The sequence below is a fragment of the Homo sapiens genome, chromosome 2 (assembly GCF_000001405.40).
Source record: "Homo sapiens chromosome 2, GRCh38.p14 Primary Assembly".
In the NCBI taxonomy this organism is placed as follows: Eukaryota; Metazoa; Chordata; class Mammalia; order Primates; family Hominidae; genus Homo; species Homo sapiens.
Window position 1 is genome coordinate 240,996,832 of NC_000002.12, and position 16,274 is coordinate 241,013,105.

Below are 16,274 nucleotides of genomic sequence, written 5' to 3' on the forward strand. Positions count from 1 at the left end.
AAAAAGACAAATAGAAAAGCGTTCTCCCTGATTCCCGCCACGGTGACGCCTGGCAGCTCTGTTCCCAACGCTGCTACATGGGGCCTTGTCCTGACTCCACGGCCTGTGCCAGCCAGAGGTGGGAGCAGCCCTCCCTGACCAGGGAGGCCAGGGCTGGGCTGAGGAAGGGGTTAAAGCATGTTCTTGAGGCCCCACGTATGGGCATATGCTGCCTCCGTGCATGTGAATAAGTATGCATGTGTGCGTGGACGTGTGTGCATGTGCGTGGAGACATGTCTCTCCTTGCCAGGCTCTCACCGAGAGCCGGCCTCAAGTAGGGATTCTACAGTTCCACGCCCTCTCTGGTGCCTCCCTCCAAAGACAGGAGGCCTTGACCTTTCTGGCCCTGGAACCATGGCTGTGCTGCTGTCCTGGAGCTCTGAAAGCTGGGACGGTGACCTAAGGGCTAACTGCGGGACAGAGCCCTTCCCCTCCCAGGCCCAGTTTGCCTCTCTGCAAACAGAATTGCCACCCCATGCAGGGTGGGAGAGGCGCCAGGGGCAAGCTTTCAGGAGGTGCCAGTGCAGGGTCAGCTCCTCCTTAACAATTCTGCACCCGGCCCTGACACCAAGTCTAAAGGGTCATGAACCTCTGAGTGAAAACACCAAGTGCAGGATCTGTGAGAACCGGCAACACCCAGTCACACGCAGAGAACCCTCCGCTGCTTCTTAAAAATAACATTGACTGTGCCTGGCTCTCACTGAAAAACAACACGTGCTCACTTGAGATATTTCAGAAGATACAAACGCAAAGACAAACAAAAAACCACCCAGCACCTCAGTGGTAGATGCAGTTACCATCAGCCCGGCCTTTCCTGCTTGTCTTCGAGGGGTGCACTCTTATCTTTGGGGGCCCCAGTGTGGCACGCAGCCAACACCACCCAACACCAGGATCTAAGAGAAGAGACCACGGTGGGCCGGGTGAGTTCCAGGAATCAGACCCTGCCATGGGCCTGGGGACATAGAGGTGGTCCCGGCTGAGGCCCTGAGGAAGGACAGACAGGCAGCCCAGGCCAGCAGCCCAAGAGACAGGGGGCAGGGCTGGCAGGCCACAGGGTGGGGACCCTGAATTCAAATACTGGGACTCAGAGTCCTGCCCCCACCTGCCAAGGCCGGTGTCATGCACGCACTTGCCCCCAGGGCCTGAGTGGGTCAGTCTTCCCCACGGAGGGTTTGCTTTACCCAGGGGTCGCCCCGAGGTCCCGAGCCTCCCAGGAATTTCTCCTGATGCGGCCACGCAGATGCAAACACTTTGTTCCATGCCTCCTAGTCTCCGGCCCGGGCTCTTCCTCACACAGACCCAGGCAGGGAGTGGGCTCCGGGGTTAGTCTGCCCCTGTGGCTGGAAGCCTGGCGTCCCCATGCTCAGGGCTGGGAAGGGGGCAGCACGGAACGGGTTCATTCAGGCACTGCCTGGCCAGGGTCCCCTCCCGCCCCCCGCGTGATGACACGCCTTCAGGGCGGGCCCAGCGTCTCAGGCCTTAGGGACACAGGTCTGTCCCAGGACGGCACTGAGGGCCCAGGCGCCTCCACCAGGGTAGGGACCCAGGGCGGAGCATGGCCCCACCACAGGGCGCGCGCCCGCAGAGCCCTCACCTTGCCTGTGCCCACGCCAGGGGACTGAGCTCCCCGCGCGCCCGCGCCCTCCCACGGGGCCTGGCGCTTTAAGAGACGCCCGATTTGCATGGCCCCGCCCCCCCGAGTGACCGCCGGGCTGGATATTTAAATCGTGGCCCCAGGGGCGGGGCTGGCCCCGAACGCGGTCCCGCCCGGCGCTTTCCTCTGCGGAGCTGCGGCGAGAGCGCGGCCCGGCCGAACGGGCGCGGGACGCGGAGCCCCCGACGGCGCGGCCAGCGGGCGCGCCCGCGCTCCCCGCACCCCGCCTGGCCCTGCCGGCCACCCCCGCGCGCAGCCTAGTCCCCCAGCGCCCTGCTCCGCCAGCGCCCCGTCCCGCCCGCACACCTCCGCGATGCGGCACGGCGTCGCCTGGGCGCTGCTGGTGGCCGCGGCCCTGGGGCTTGGGGCGCGCGGGGTGCGCGGCGCGGTGGCCCTTGCCGACTTCTACCCGTTCGGCGCCGAGCGCGGCGACGCCGTCACCCCCAAGCAGGACGACGGCGGCTCGGGGCTGCGGCCGCTCTCGGTGCCCTTCCCGTTCTTCGGTGCCGAGCACTCCGGACTCTACGTGAGTAACCCCCGGGCTCGCGGGGCGCCCGGGAGGGGAGGGAGCTGCGCCCCGGCCGCTGCCCGCCGGGCCCGGACTCCCGCCGCCGCCGCCAGCCACTTGGCACCGGGGCGGCCCGAGGTGGAATGAGGACAGCGCTTCCTCCTCGGCGGCCAAGGCCGGACAGCGGCCCGCGGGAGAGGCGCGCGGGCGGGGCGGGGGCGGCAGCCGCCGGGCACCGAGGCGGGGGCGAGTGGAGCGCGGCGCCCCGGCCCCTGCCAGACCTGCCGAGCGCGTCTTCCCGGCGCCTGATTCCCAGGGGAGAGCAGGGGTCCTGGTACTGCCCTGGTTTTCACACATGGCAATGTGGCCGTGGGCACGGGCTTCCCGGGCCTCAGTTTCCCAAGTGGGGCGCCGGGCCTGCGAAGGTTGCAGCCCCTCCTTGGGCCATTTCAGCCCCGCCCCCCGTGGACGCCAGTGCGGCCCAGAGCCAGGAGGCTGGACCCCTTGCCCAGGCGCTCAGGGCAGGGCCTGCTTCTTCGCTGACCCTCCTAGGCGGGCTAGCAACAGGCTTGCCCCTCCCTGCCGTCCTCTCCGCAGTCTGGGGGCTGGCCGCTCAGGCTCAGACTCTCCAAACAGGACTCCCAGTGGGACTCCTGGGGCCAGGGACTCATGACAGCAGGCTCAGCTCAGCTGAAGGAACAGGCCCGAGTGCCGGTTCTGTCTCCATGGCTCCCAGAGTGTGACCCCAGGCCAAGCCCTTATGGCAGCCCAGGGAATGAAATGCACCTGGTAACTGCATGGAGCACTCGCCCTGAGTAGGCCACGGTGCACTGGTACCTGGTGGTTCCCTGAAACACCCCAGATCATATCTAGAAAACTGCTGGGCCAGCCTCAAGTAGAGTCCCCTCCAGCTCCGTCACCACGGCCACCTCCACCATCAGCCCTCTCATACCCTCGCCCACCTCCAGCCTCAACCCACTGCCAGCCACATCGCCTCTGCCATCTGTGCTGCCCGGAGTAACACCACCTGTACTGCCAACTCCTCCGTCAACACCACCTCCTTCAACCCCACCACCAGCAGCACTGCCTCCACCACCACCTTCCCCATGGTCCCCAGCTTCCCGTCGTCACCATCCACATCCTCTGCATGGTTGTCATCATCCCTCCCCACCTCCATCCACAGGGCCTCCTCCACCACATGCCCTCTAGTGCGCCTCCCACCCCACAACTGCCAACACCATCCACAGCGCCCACTGCGTTTTCCACACCTGCTCAGGAAGGCCTCCCCACCTCGGTGGCAGCACTGGGTGACCTGACTGGTGGGAGGGGCAGCCATGCTGTCGGTGCTACCCCCTGAAAGTCCCTCTGGACCGGGACTTGGACAGAGGAACGGGACTGACTCCTGGAAGTACGAAGTGGGTAGGACAGAATGGTGCTCAGCGTTGGCCCGAGCTGGAGGAGGCCTGTCCACTTGAGGTATGGGACACTCACATTGGCACCATCCGAACAGAACTCAAGAGGCTCCTTAAGCATTTGGGCCAGGCTCAGCTTTCCCACTCACAGTCACAGGTGAAAATATTATTAAAATGGTTAACCCACTTAACAGCCTCACCAAAAACATCTGCCCTTGCCAGAGCAACTAGGGGAAACAGCTCTAACGTGGGAAGATCTGCTAGGAGAACTAGGGTTTCGTCAGAAATGAACCTTCTGGCTGCTAACAAAACATTTATCTCCATCGGAGCTTTTTCCTGAAACAAAGATATTATTTGAAAACCATTTGCCGATGTGGACACAGTGCCTGCAGTGCACTTCACCTTTCTGTTTGCTCAGCAGGAGGCTTGAGGCTGCGTTGCCCAGGACACCTTGCCTGAAGTAACTGTGCGGACTCTGTGGTCAAGCAGGGAGAGAGAAAGGGGTGCTTGGCAGCAGGTTAGGGCTGAAGCCAGGTGGAAAGAAGGGAGGCATTTGTTCTGAAGGAAGTGGACCTGCCTGGGGCCTCCCACGCCCACCCAGGCCGAGCGGACCCTCTTCTGAGGCCCCTGGCTCTGGCCCTTGTCCAGCTCCAGTCTATAGGGGCCTCGTGTCTGCTGGCCCTGGACTCAGACTCCCATGTCAGGCCCAGCCAGGACCCTCCAGCCCCCATCCCACTGCAGTGACCTCTGCGCTCCTCCGCCCCCAGCCTGTCGCTTGACCAAGAGTAGGCTTGTTGTCTGAATGAATGAATGTGCCTCCCTCTGACACTGCCTGCAAGTCACAGGTAGAAATTAGAAGTGCTCTTGCATGAGATGGGTGCTTCTTCTGTCTTCATCAGAAATAGCACATGGATTACTGCCCTAGCAAGACAGCTCTGCCACACATGGAGTGGCCCCCTTTCCAGAAGGGACCCATTGTTTTGCTTCTTTCTCATGTCATAGTAGCTGTATGTGTGTGGTAAGTCGTAAGGCTCTGAAAAGTGTTGAAAGTGCATTTTATTGCTAAGGTTCTACACACAGACAAAGATAATGCAGCCGAGGAGCGTGGCGCGCCGAGGAGTGTGGCGTGCTGAGGAGTGTGGCATGCTGCCGCTATCCTGCCATGCAGGAACTGCCAGTGTCTGCATTAAGACGGAGCTTGCCGCGGTCTGTGGGGCTTATGCAGGTGGAGTGGTTTCCTAGGGGCAGGTGCAGGGAATGAGAGACGAAATCTTCCTGGTGCCCCCTACACTGAAGCTCCTGGCTCCAAGCACTGCCCCCATCCACAGCATGGTCTCTGGGCCATGGGAGGATCTCAGTTTCTTTGGCATCAGGACCCCCGACAGAGCCCTGAGCAGAGGCAGGGAGGATTTGAGGGTCAAGAGTGGGTGGTGCCCTGCAGAGCCCGCAGGCAAGAAGGAGGAATGTGGACAGTCAGACTGACCCTCGCTGGTGCTGGCTAAACCCCCACTCTGTGCCCTGAGGCTTCGTGCCACACCGCAAGTCTGCTGGCTCTGGCTCTGCACAACATTACCATCCAGGCACAGTCCCGGCCCTACCCCTCCCAGAACACGGAGCCCAGGGCAGCTGCTCTGGTGTGGGAGTTCACATGCAGCCTGTGACCTTTGCCTGGTCATTTCCTCCCTGAGCCTCTGTCTCCCCATCTGTGTGGTGAAGCTCCCCCATCAGGTCATACCTGTGACACACCCCATCACTGTCACGGTTGTGTGGTCGCCAGCTCCAAGCCATCTGGAAAATCCACCCTGACCCACAGGGACTGTCTCAGTGGGACCGAGGCCTGCGCATGAGTGGATCTGGGAGCAGACATGTGGGGAGAAATCACTGCCATCTCTGCTCTCTTCTGAGCTCATGGAACACCCCAGCAAATGCAGGAGCCCCTTGGCTGGGAGGAGGGTCCTGGGCTTCCCCTTGGCTGCCCTATTCACTGAGGTTCCCGGGCTGGCCCACCCCCTGCTATGGGCTTGGCCAAGGTGGTCCTGCCCCTCATCAGCATGCCCTTCTTGCTGCTGCCTGGGTGTGACGGAAGCAGATGGAAGGGGATCCTGGGGAAGTGGAATGGGGCTGGAGTCGAGGAGGATGCTGGAGTGAGAGAGCCTGATGACTCCAGGTCAAGGCCATGAGCCCAGGACAGCTGTGATCTGCCTGGACCTCACAGGCAGCCCCTGAGAGGATGGAGCAGGACGTCATGCCCAGTGCAGATGAGGAAACCGAGGCTCAGAATGCAGATTCAGGGGCCTTCAGACTCCTGCGTCCAGCTGCCTCTTACTGTGCCACCCCAAACTCAGTGGGACCCAAACAGAAGTCCTGCTTCCTCCCTGGCGCCCACCCATCTCCATGAATAAACCCCTGAGAGCCTCCCCAATGCCTCCCTCCTCTCCCTCACCCTCCACGTCAGCAGCAGCTCCGCCTGCCTCTCTACTTGGACCACTTCCCAGCTGTCCATCCCCACTTGCCTGGACACCTGCAGCACCCCCTTGCTGACCTCCAGCTCTTGGCCTTTCCCTCCAGCCTGCCCTCCTCTGTGCAGAGTGACCAAGGGAGCCATACAAAACACCAGTGGGATCCTGTCTCTCCTCGCCAGAATCCCCGCTACGCTTCCCTGCCCCCCTCCGCCCTCCCCCGGGCCCCCCGCTCAGGCACTCCCCCAGCCCCACCCTCTGTGCTCACTGCAGCTTGTTGGTTCTGACCTCAGCTGGGTTGCTCCTTAGTTTTCTTGTTTGGGAGGTGTTGGGATGTGCACCCCATGAAGGCAGGGACCACATCCATCCTCATGCCACCATTCTGGTGTTGGGCTCAGAATAGGCCTCAGACGACAGCCTGGGGCTGCAGTGGTGGTGGTGCCCTGGTGAAGGACTCTCTCTTCCACCCCTGCTGAGGCCAGAGGATGCATGCAGCAAGATGCCTGCACCCTGAGCAGTAAGTCCTCCTGTGCCACATCCACATGGTGGGCTCATGGTCTTGGCCACCAGCACATTTCTGCACCGTGTGTTCCCCAAAGCAGAAGCAGTCCCACCTTCCCTGACAGGGTGAGCCTTAGCCTGGGAGTCAGCTTTTCCACACAGAGATGCAGGACCTGCACACTTCAGCCTCAGCCCACAGCCGACTCCCTCCCAGGACTGGCCTGACCCATGGCACAGGCACAGCTGTTGGAACATGGTAGTGTGGTAGGGGGTCCTGGCTGCATGCTGGGCCCCATAAGGAAAGTCTCTGTCTGCACTGCCCCACCTCTGCAGGTGACCTGCTTAGAGAAGAGACTCACAGGGAAGACAGGTCAGTTTGTGTGATACTGACATGAAGTGTTATCTGTGACACTTCTGTGTGTGATGGGCCACGAGAAGCCATAAGGCTGCACACAGGAGCAGCAATTTGTAAAGGTGACCAAAAAAATGTTGGTTATCATTTATACTGCCCTCTGCCTTCTAACATCTCTGGTTTCTGATGAGCCCTTTCTTGGCTGAGTGAGCTGGAATAGGGCTGGAAGCCCCTGGGCTGGACAGGGCCAGGCTGTCCTATGTGAGGAAGGAGAGAAGCTGATGCATGTATGGAGGGGAAGATCCTGGAGTGGGGATGAGCCTGGGGGTGAGGCTGGCCTCTGCTTGAGGCACAAAATGATCCCCACATCCCACCAGGGGAGCCATGAAGAAAGGAGATGTATATAGGTAGTGGGCACAACACTGATAAAACTGCAGTCTGAGCATTTGTTGTGGCTTCTTGTTCTGGCTTCCTGTGAAATCTTCAGCAAAACCCTTACCACACCTTAATGACTGTGGCCTTGATTGTCTTTCTTGTAAATGCTAAAAAAAAGAAGTGTAGTACTGATTTTTTTTAATCCAGCCTGACAAATCTCTTCCTTTTAATTAGAGTGTTTTAGACCATTTACATTTAATGTAATTATCAATATGGTTGAATTTTAACCTATCATCTTCCTATTTGTTACATCTGTTCTCTATAGTTTCTTCTTTTGGATTTTTAAAAATAATTTCATATTATCTATACTATTGGCTTATTACCTACACCTCTGATTTTATTTTTTTGTGATTATTCTAGATTTAAAACACATTTTTAACATAGTTTACCTTCAAATAATATTATACTCTTTCAAGTATGATATAATAATCTTATAACAGCATACATCCATTTTCCTTCTGGCCCTCATGCTATTGTTGTCATATATATTACTTTACACATGTTATAAACCCAATAATGCACTGTTAACTTTTTGTTTGTTTGTTTTTTTGAGATGGAGTCTCACTCTGTCGCCAGGTTGGAGTGCAGTGGCGTGATCTCGGCTCACTGCAACCTCTGCCTCCCAGGTTCAAGCAATTCTGTGCCTCAGCCCCCTGAATAGCTGGGATTATAGGCGCCCACGACCACACCTAGCTAGTTTTTTTTATTTTTAGTAGAGACGGGGTTTCACCATCTTGGCCAGGCTGGTCTTGAACTCCTGATCTCGTGATCCACCCACCTCAGCCTCACAAAGTGCTGGGATTACAGATGTAGGCCACCATGCCTGGCCAATGTTTTTTTTCTTTAAAACAGTCAATTATCATTTAAAGAGATTAAAATTAGAAAGTCTTTTATATTTACCCACATATTTACTATTTCCAGTCTTCTTCATTTCTTTGTGTAGGTCCAGATTTCTTTTTTTAAAAAATTTTTATTTTTTAAATTTTAGTTTAGTTTAGTTTCTGTTTTTGTTTTTGTTTTTGTTTTGAGATGGATTCTTACTTACTCTGTCATCCAGGCTACAGTGCAGTGGCATGATCTCAGCTCACTGCAACCTCTGCCTCCCGGGTTCAAATGATTCTCCTGCCTCAGCCTCCTGAGTACCTGGGACTACAGGTGCCCACCATCACCCCCAGCTAATTTTTGTATTTTTAGTAGAGATGAGGTTTCACCATGTTGGTTAGGCTGATCTGGAATTCCTGGCCTCAAGTGACCTGCCTGCCTCAGCCTCCCAAAGTGCTAGGATTACAGACCTTAGCCACCATGCCTGGCCCAGATTTCCATTTTTATATCATTTTCCTTCTGCTTGAAGGACTTCCTCTAATATTTCTTATAGTGTAGACCTGCTGGCATAAATTATCACTGTTTTTTTAAAATCTGAAAATCTCTTTATCTTCATTTTTTGAAAGATAGCTCTGCTGGGTGGGTGTAGAATTCCAAACTGACTTTGGATTTTGTTTGTGTTTTAAATTTTTTGAAGATGCTGCTCTGTTGTCTTCTGATTGGCATAGTTTGTAATGAGAAGTCTGCTGTCATTCCCATCTTTGTCCCTCCGCATATGCATCTTTTTTCTCTGATTCCTTTTAAGATATTCTTTTTATCACTGCTTTTCAGCAATTTGGTTATTAGGTGTATTGTTGTAGGGCTTTAAAAATATTTCTTCTGCTTGGTTTCATTAAGACTCATGATTTGTGAGCGTATAGTTTCCATGAAATTTGAAAAAAATCTCAGCCATCTTCACATATTTTTTCTGTCCTTTCTCTCCTCTCTTTTGAAGACTCAAATTGTATGTACATTAAACTTCTTACTATTGTCCTAGAGCTCATTGAGAATGAGAATGAGGCTTTGTTATTTTAAAGTCTTTTTTGCCTGTCCTTCATTTTGAATATTTCTATTGTTATGTTTTCAAATTCACTGATTTTTTTTTCTACACGGTCTAACCTATTCATCCCATTCAGAGTATGTTTGTTTCATCTATTTCACTTTTTACTCCTATAAGTTGTATTTGGATCTTTTCTGCATTTTTCATTTCTTCCCTCATTATGTTGACATTTCCTTTTCTATCCTAGCATATTTTTCATCTTTATAATAATTGCTTTAAAATTACTGTCTACTAATTTCAGCATATACTTTTTAATGCAATACTTTGACTATGTATCTGTGAACAAAAGTGAAAAGAATGGTGAACAATGATGAAACTCCAAGTGTAGCATTGTTTTCCACAGTGGTATGGGTTGGAAATGTTGAGGCTGTTGAGCCAGTGAGTAAATAGATTGAGAATGGTATGCGCTTCTCTTGAAGATACGAGTTGCAGATATGGAAAGGAGGAAACATCAAATGAAACCTGTGGCTTTGTGTTAGATTTGACTTCAGCATATCAGTATAACTTCATAGCACATATTTCCGTGTGTGTATTATGACAGATGGGTGTAGACATGGGTATATACATCTGTGTGTCTACCTACATCCACAGTTCCTAGCTCTGTCCACTGAGAGAAATGGAAGCAATAATACCTCAATAGCAGAGGGCACTTCCATGCTCAGATCTTGGCTGCTAAACACTAGTCTCCACTAAAAAGAACCAGGGTGCCTTGGAGATCCTAGGGTCGTGGCAAGAGAAGTGCAAGATGAGCCTGGAACATCTTGTTGTGCCATAAAGTAAGGAAACACTAGGAGAAGGATGGAGATGGATCAAAAGGACACAGAGGCCCTCCAGAAGGGGCTCCCACTGGCAGTGTTTGGGACAATTGGAGCATTAAAACAAATAATGATAGGTACAGATTCTAATCTATTAAAGGAGAAATCCGTGGCTTCACACTGATGTAAGTAAATAAATGATGAAACATATAAATGAGGGGGAAAACAGTATTGATAGCTTTGCATCAGTGTTAAATTTCCTGCTGTGGGTGACTGTATATGCTTACATGAGAGAATATCCTTGTTGATGGGAAATACTAAAATGTTTAGGGTGCAGAGGGTCATGAGGTCTACAGCTTATTCTCATATCCTCCTGAGTTTTTGGTGATAAGGTGAAGCTAGAGCTTCTTGTCAGAGAAGTGGCCAGCCGGCCAAACCGCGTTCTCCCAGGCAGCTCCCCACAGAAACTTGGTGCATTCATTCACTGTTGACTTACTCACTACTTCATTTGTTCGTTCCTTCAGTCCAAAACCTTGATTGCACCCTTGCTCTGATTTAAGGAGACGGAAGAGCAGCAATGCGTCTTTTTTTAGTATTAAATGTATTTATTTTTGTCTGTTTTGTTCGCTGTGCTGTCAGGCTTCCGGAACAGTGCTACTCCTAGAAGCCGCTCAGTAAATAACTATTGTTCATCTTGTGATCATTGGGATGATATATCCGTAATTCCATCACCCAAAAATAAGTGCTTTTAACATTTTGGTGAAGTTCTTCCTTATCTGTTTTCAAGGGTAGGGTTTTACAAAACAGACTTCGGGTTACCATCTCATATGGGTCTCTGTGTTGCCTATTTCTTTCAATGTTACGCCACGAGCATTTACCCATGCCCTAACTTTTCTGTGAAAACATGCTTTTTCATGACAATACAAGATTCCATTCTATGGCTACACTGTGATTGGTTTAACCGGCCGCTAGTTATTGGCTCTGTGGTGTTTCAGTCTCCTGAATCGATGTGTGTCTGTCCTACACGGGCCTTCGTGCAGGCCTCCCTCTCTTTCCCTCCCTTGCAATAAACTGCCCCACGTGGGCTCACTGGATCCAAGGCAGGGAGCTTTTCAGGGCACCTTCCTTCTGTCTGCCACTGCCCAGAAGGGCATTCGCAGTTACACCCTGCCGTGGGTGAAGGCGGCCGTACCACCTGACTCACTGAGCACAGCCCGGAGGTGGCAGCTCCCCAGCTCTGACAGGTCCGGACCACGTGTGTCTCCAAAGCAGGCTTCTGTGCTGCTCCAGGGCCACCTGGGGGCGTGGCAGGAATGCAGACCACCCAGGGCAGATCCCAAGTGGGGGAACAGAGTCAGTGCCGTGACCAGGGGCTCCTGGGGCTGGCTCAGAGCCCCACCTGGGAAGCACAGCCCCTCCCTCCGAGGGCTGCTCGTGGTGACCCGGGGCACTCCTAACTAACCTACTCTGCAGGCTCCAGTCTCCTCCTGCCTCCTATTCACCACGAAGGGGTGGCCAGGACAAGCTGCCCCCACAGGGTCCCACCTGATAGCACTCCTTGCACTCCTTCTGTCCATGGGCTTCTAGGCCAGACAGGGTGTCCTGGTGTTCTGACTGGTGGTGGGGGTGGAAGCTCTGGGCAGATCCAAGGGCAAGACAGGCTGGAAGGGTCGGGGCCTGGTCACACTGCCGTCTGTCTGCGACCAGGCAGGTGGGACACCCCATACATCATCTACGGGGACCAGCCTCAACACCTAGGTGCCTTGGCATCCATTCTCTTGTTCTTTGCAAAGCAGGGCAAGTCATTCATTCAGCCAGCAGGTGTCAGTTATTAGACACCACTGTGTGCAGCCCCTGCCCTGCTCCCGTGGTGCCCGGGGCTCAGCACATGCTGAAGTCGCCTCTGGGCTCTGCGGGCCAGTCAGGGAGCACCAAGTGGGAGCAGGACTGTGGCCAGCCCAGGCCCCTGACCCCAATGCCTCCACACAGGAGGGCAGCCCAGGATCACACTGTCCTCTGAGCTTGTCCAGGAGCTTGTCAAGGGTCAGGCACGGCCTCTTGGGCCCTCAAACCCATCTTTCAGCAAACATTTCCTGCCATCAGCTCTGGGGTGGGTTGGAGGCGGCAAAGTGGAGCAGGCAAGGCAGCCTTGGAGGCTCACTGGGGGCAGGACATGGGGATGGAGCTTGGGTCCTGAAGGAGTGACGGGGGTGCCCATGAGTAAGACTCTCAGGTATGTGGGGAGTGGGGGACAGACCAGGTTTGCATCTCAAGATTGCATCTCTGATGGTGGTGGCTGGAGGTGACAGTGGCCCAGTGGCCACTGCAGAGATGCAGGGTGACTGTGAGGAGGCCCCTCCCTCTGAGGTGTGGACAGGCTGAAGGCAGCAAGATCTCAAGAGCCCAGGAGGCAGCAGCCCAGGCTGGAGATGGATGGAAAGGGCAGGTGTGGACACCCAGACAGTGTGGGGCCACTGCCTCCAGGCCAGGCACACCCTGGGGCCTCTAGGGGATTGGGCTGTGGCCCTGCTGACCATAGGGACTGGTGGAGCACCTGGCCAAAGTGGGAAGCAAGTGAGGCAAGGAGCAGGCGGCAGGAGCTGCTGTCAACACAAGGAAGCAGAGGGGCTGGTGGAGAGGGAGAGGCTGTGAGGGCAGCAAGAGGGACAGGGCATGAGAAAGGGCACGGGGGCTGGGGGCATGGCCCCATGGGGACAGGGAAGCCACAGGGAGACCCAGCACCTCAGTCTGCAGGAGAGAGAGGACATGGCATCAACACTCTCCTGGGAGCCCCTCCCTTACCCCTCCCCTGTCCGGGGGCGCTGAATGCAGCTCAGATGTCCCCTCCTCCAGGAAGTCACCCTGGCTCTCCCTGGTGGTAGCTCTCTTCCCTCCCACTGGAACAACCCCTTGGGTGACTGCTTCTGTCCCATGTGTGTTTCCCCGGAGGCGTCCCATGTGTGTTTCCCCGGAGGCCTAGCCCAGTATTGCCGTCGGTGGCTGGGCCAGGGGCCAGCCTCCTTCCCTTCAGGGCTGGCGTGAGGCCGCTCAGCAGGAGACCATCCCCTTCAGCCCCGGAGGCCCTGCCCATCCCCCGGCCCAGGACGCCAGCCCCCGCTGTGCCTGTGGGAGGAATCCTAATTGCCCAGAAAGCTGCCAGGAAATAAAAGACATGCCTGCATTTTTCAAAACAAGCTTCTAAAACACCTCGAGGCTGTGCTGTTTCACTCTTGGCAGAGGAGTCAAAGCAGGGAACCGCAGAGCCGCCCTTTGTGATCTAACGTTTGCGGAGCCAGGGTGCTGCTTCCTGGCTCCTGGGGCCCTCGGAAGTCTCTTGGGTCCCTGGCTCCCCTCCAGGCCCACCCTGCCCTGCTCAGAGCAGCCCCTTGGCTCAGGTCCGGGGGAGCAGGCTGTTGCATATCGGCACTTTCAGCCCGAGGTCACCTCCTGGAGGCTCCCCAGACGCTTCAGCTCTTTCCTGCTTTCATCCAAGTCGGAAATGCCACTGGAGCACGTCTCTGTGCTTCCTCCTGAGCCAGCAGAGGGTCAGCCCCGTCCTGCAGGAAAGGCAGGAGAGCCCTGAGTGCCCCTGGCCAGCCCCGCCCCCAATGGAGGAGGGCGAGGAGCCTCCTCCAAGTCCCCAAGTCACTGCAGCTCCAGGTTCCATGTGGCCTGGGGCCTCCCCAGTTAGCAGCTGACCAGCAGCCCAAGAATCTCAGCCTGCTCAGAGGGGTCAGAGCATCCCCTCCATGGCAAGGCCACCGTGAGGCTGGCTGGCCTTGACCACAGCCTGAGAGAGGAGGGTGAGGGCGGGGCGTGGGGCACTCACCGGGGTGCCTAAGGTGCTCAGCTGTGTCCAACGCAGAGCTTTTTCCAGGCGGCCTGTGTGTGAGCCCCTCCCAGGACCTTTGTCACCTACCTGGGACTGTAACATCCAGGTGGCAATCTTGTTTTTCTCAGCAGCTGGTGCTTGGCTGGGAGGAGAGCGATGCCAGCACTGATCCAGGGCCTGGGCTTCAGGCTGCAGGCAGAGCCGGGACCCCAAAGGAGACCAGACGGTGGCCACGGGGAGGCCCTGGACGATGGGATCCACAGGGAGAGACTGGAGTTCTGGGGGATGCAGCCAGGGCCTGCCGCAGCATCTCTACCCTGCAGACCCAGAACAAGCACACTGCCCTCCCTCCCTGCCTGGGGGTGGCAGGTCTCCTGGGTCTCCTGGGTCTCCTGGGGGTGGCAGGTCTCCTGGGTCTCCTGGGGGTGGCAGGTCTCCTGGTTCTCCTGGGTCTCCTGGGGGTGGCAGGTCTCCTGGGTCTCCTGGGTCTCCTGGGGGTGGCAGGTCTCCTGGGTCTCCTGGGTCTCCTGGGGGTTGCAGGTCTCCTGGGTCTCCTGGGGGTGGCAGGTCTCCTGGGTCTCCTGGGTTTCCTGGGGGTGGCAGGTCTCCTGGGTCTCCTGGCACATGGAGTGGTTACATTTCTACAAGTGTCCCAGTGGCGCTGGGCAGGACTGCCAGGCTGGCCTCAGGCCCCAGACCCCAGCAGACAAACACTGGCCCTCAGCAGGTGTCTGAGGTGCCAGCGCTGGGCAGCCTGCTGGCATTCCCGCCCCCGAAGTCAGGACGAGGGACTAAACCCGCACTGTTCCTCTACGAGTGCTCAGGTCCACACCTAGCCATGAACAGGGGCGTCGGCTGGGAGACAGGCTAATCCTTTCCCCTTGTTTTCCACATCTCTATGACATGTTTTACAAGGTGCTATAGCAAGTAGGCAAATAACAATAATAGAATTGTCACTTTTTGGGAAGTAGCGTTTTCCCAGCCCTGAAGAAGGAGAGGGACCCCAGTGCTGGGGAGAGAGGGGTTGCCACATGGCTCCCTGCCCTGCTTCTAGCTCCTGGGCCCTCTGGCCTGGGCCTTGCCCACTAGCCCCCTTCCACCAGACGTTGGGACGTCCACATCTGGAGAAAGGAAGTCCCGCGGGCCTCTGCCCTGCACTGCGGTGCTGGCGCTGCCCTGTCCTGGCTGCCCTGTCCTGGCAGGGGACAGGGCCGGCTTGTTCTGCCTCCTCCCTGGCTCAGCCCCCAGCGGGGAGGGCAGCAGCTCTCTGGGGTGGGGAGAGAGGAAAGCTGGAGCGGGGCAGGCGGCGGGTGGGCCCGAGGCCTCTGCACACCGCACACCTGCAAGCTAGGCTCCCACTTCAAAGGCCGACAGAAAACTCAGGGCAGCGGCTCAGGAGCCAAGCAGGGAGTGGGGCCAGCTAAGGAAGAGCATGGGGGGTGCGGCGAGGGGCAGAGCAGGGAGGTCCCCCACACCAGGCAGGTGGCCCAGCCCCAGGGACCTCGGCCACAGCGGCCTCCTGCCCCCAGATGCTTCTCCCCCAACCCAGAGGTACCACTTGTCACTTCTAACCCTTAGCTCTTTTTTCCAAAACACATGCCAAAAAGGGTACAAAACATAAACGTGCAAAAAAAGATCAAACGTAACGCAAACCCTGGTGGGCCCACTGCCAGGCCGAGAGCAGACGCTGCCACCGCCCCACCCTGCATCGCCACCCCAGGGCAGCCCCTCCGGCCTGTGAAAGCGCCTTCTCACACTCGCCTTTTTCCCTCCCTGGTGTTTTTAGGGTGGCTCATCCACATCTCTGGTGGTGCTGTTACTTCATCATCACCTCTGTATCGTTGTATGAATAGACCACAGGCTATTTGTTTTACAGTGGTACACATTTGGGTCTGCTATTGTTGTTGTTTTAATTGAATTTTTCCAGCCTTATTGAGACAAAATTGACAGACAAAATTGTGTGATTTAATATACCTACACATTGTGAAATGACGACCAGAATCGCATGAATCTATACATCCATCACCACCCAGTTACCGTGTGTGTGCACGTGTGTGACAAGAACACTTAAGATTACTCTCTTAGCAAATTTCAATTAAACGAGGCAGTACTGTGTTTTTTTTTTCTTTTTTTTTTTTTTTTGTTGTTGTTTTTGAGATGGAGTCTCGCTCTTTCGCCCAGGCTGGAGTGCAGTGACGTGATCTCAGCTCACTGCAAGCTCCGCCTCCTGGGTTCACGCCATCCTCCTGCCTCAGCCTCCCGAGTAGCTGGGACTACAGGTGCCCGCCACCACGCCCGCTAATTTTTTGTATTTTCAGTAGAGACAGGGTTTCACCATGTTAGCCAGGATGGTCTCGATCTCCTGACCTCGTGATCCGCCTGTCTCAGCCTCCCAAAGTGATGGGA

At 55.9% G+C, this 16,274-nt stretch overlaps 1 protein-coding gene and 1 long non-coding RNA gene across 24 annotated transcripts in view, besides 3 other annotated features; one reads left to right on the forward strand and one right to left on the reverse strand.

Annotated features, from left to right (window-relative positions):
• Positions 1 to 818: 818 nt before the first annotated feature.
• Positions 819 to 16,274, forward strand: part of SNED1 (sushi, nidogen and EGF like domains 1) — a 97,919-nt gene continuing 82,463 nt past the window's right edge. For 15 of the 22 annotated variants that reach the window (XR_002959254.2, XR_002959256.2, XR_002959257.2 and 12 more), the window contains exon 1: positions 819 to 959. Coding sequence is in view for 14 of the 22 variants with exons in the window: in XM_011510931.3 (XP_011509233.1) it covers positions 827 to 959 (133 nt within the window). In the remaining 8 variants the exon portion in view is untranslated. Of the gene's footprint in view, positions 960 to 1,786; positions 2,220 to 4,034; positions 4,131 to 16,274 lie in introns of those variants that run through there. The other 7 variants (XR_002959260.2, XR_002959255.2, NM_001080437.3 and 4 more) reach the window with 2 other exon arrangements.
• Positions 1,419 to 1,838: a silencer, noted in NCBI's record as "silent region_12525". NCBI's record gives its function as "represses an Ori minimal core promoter by ATAC-STARR-seq in GM12878 lymphoblastoid cells {active_cell/tissue: GM12878}" and the evidence as "EXISTENCE:reporter gene assay evidence [ECO:0000049][PMID:35858748]".
• LOC107985787 (uncharacterized) lies at positions 10,621 to 15,114 on the reverse strand. 2 transcript variants are annotated; one of them, XR_001739175.3, is made up of 2 exons: positions 13,956 to 15,114; positions 10,621 to 13,593 (listed from the first exon to the last, which is right to left on the reverse strand). It is a non-coding gene; the product is annotated as an uncharacterized LOC107985787 (long non-coding RNA). The 2 variants fall into 2 exon arrangements; XR_001739174.3 differs by having other exon boundaries at positions 13,866 to 14,245.
• Positions 13,297 to 13,902: an enhancer, noted in NCBI's record as "H3K27ac-H3K4me1 hESC enhancer chr2:241949545-241950150 (GRCh37/hg19 assembly coordinates)". NCBI's record gives its function as "activates a minimal SCP1, AML or CMV promoter by ChIP-STARR-seq in naive and primed H9 embryonic stem cells {active_cell/tissue: H9 hESC(naive and primed)}" and the evidence as "EXISTENCE:reporter gene assay evidence [ECO:0000049][PMID:30033119]".
• Positions 13,903 to 14,506: an enhancer, noted in NCBI's record as "H3K4me1 hESC enhancer chr2:241950151-241950754 (GRCh37/hg19 assembly coordinates)". NCBI's record gives its function as "activates a minimal SCP1, AML or CMV promoter by ChIP-STARR-seq in naive H9 embryonic stem cells {active_cell/tissue: H9 hESC(naive)}" and the evidence as "EXISTENCE:reporter gene assay evidence [ECO:0000049][PMID:30033119]".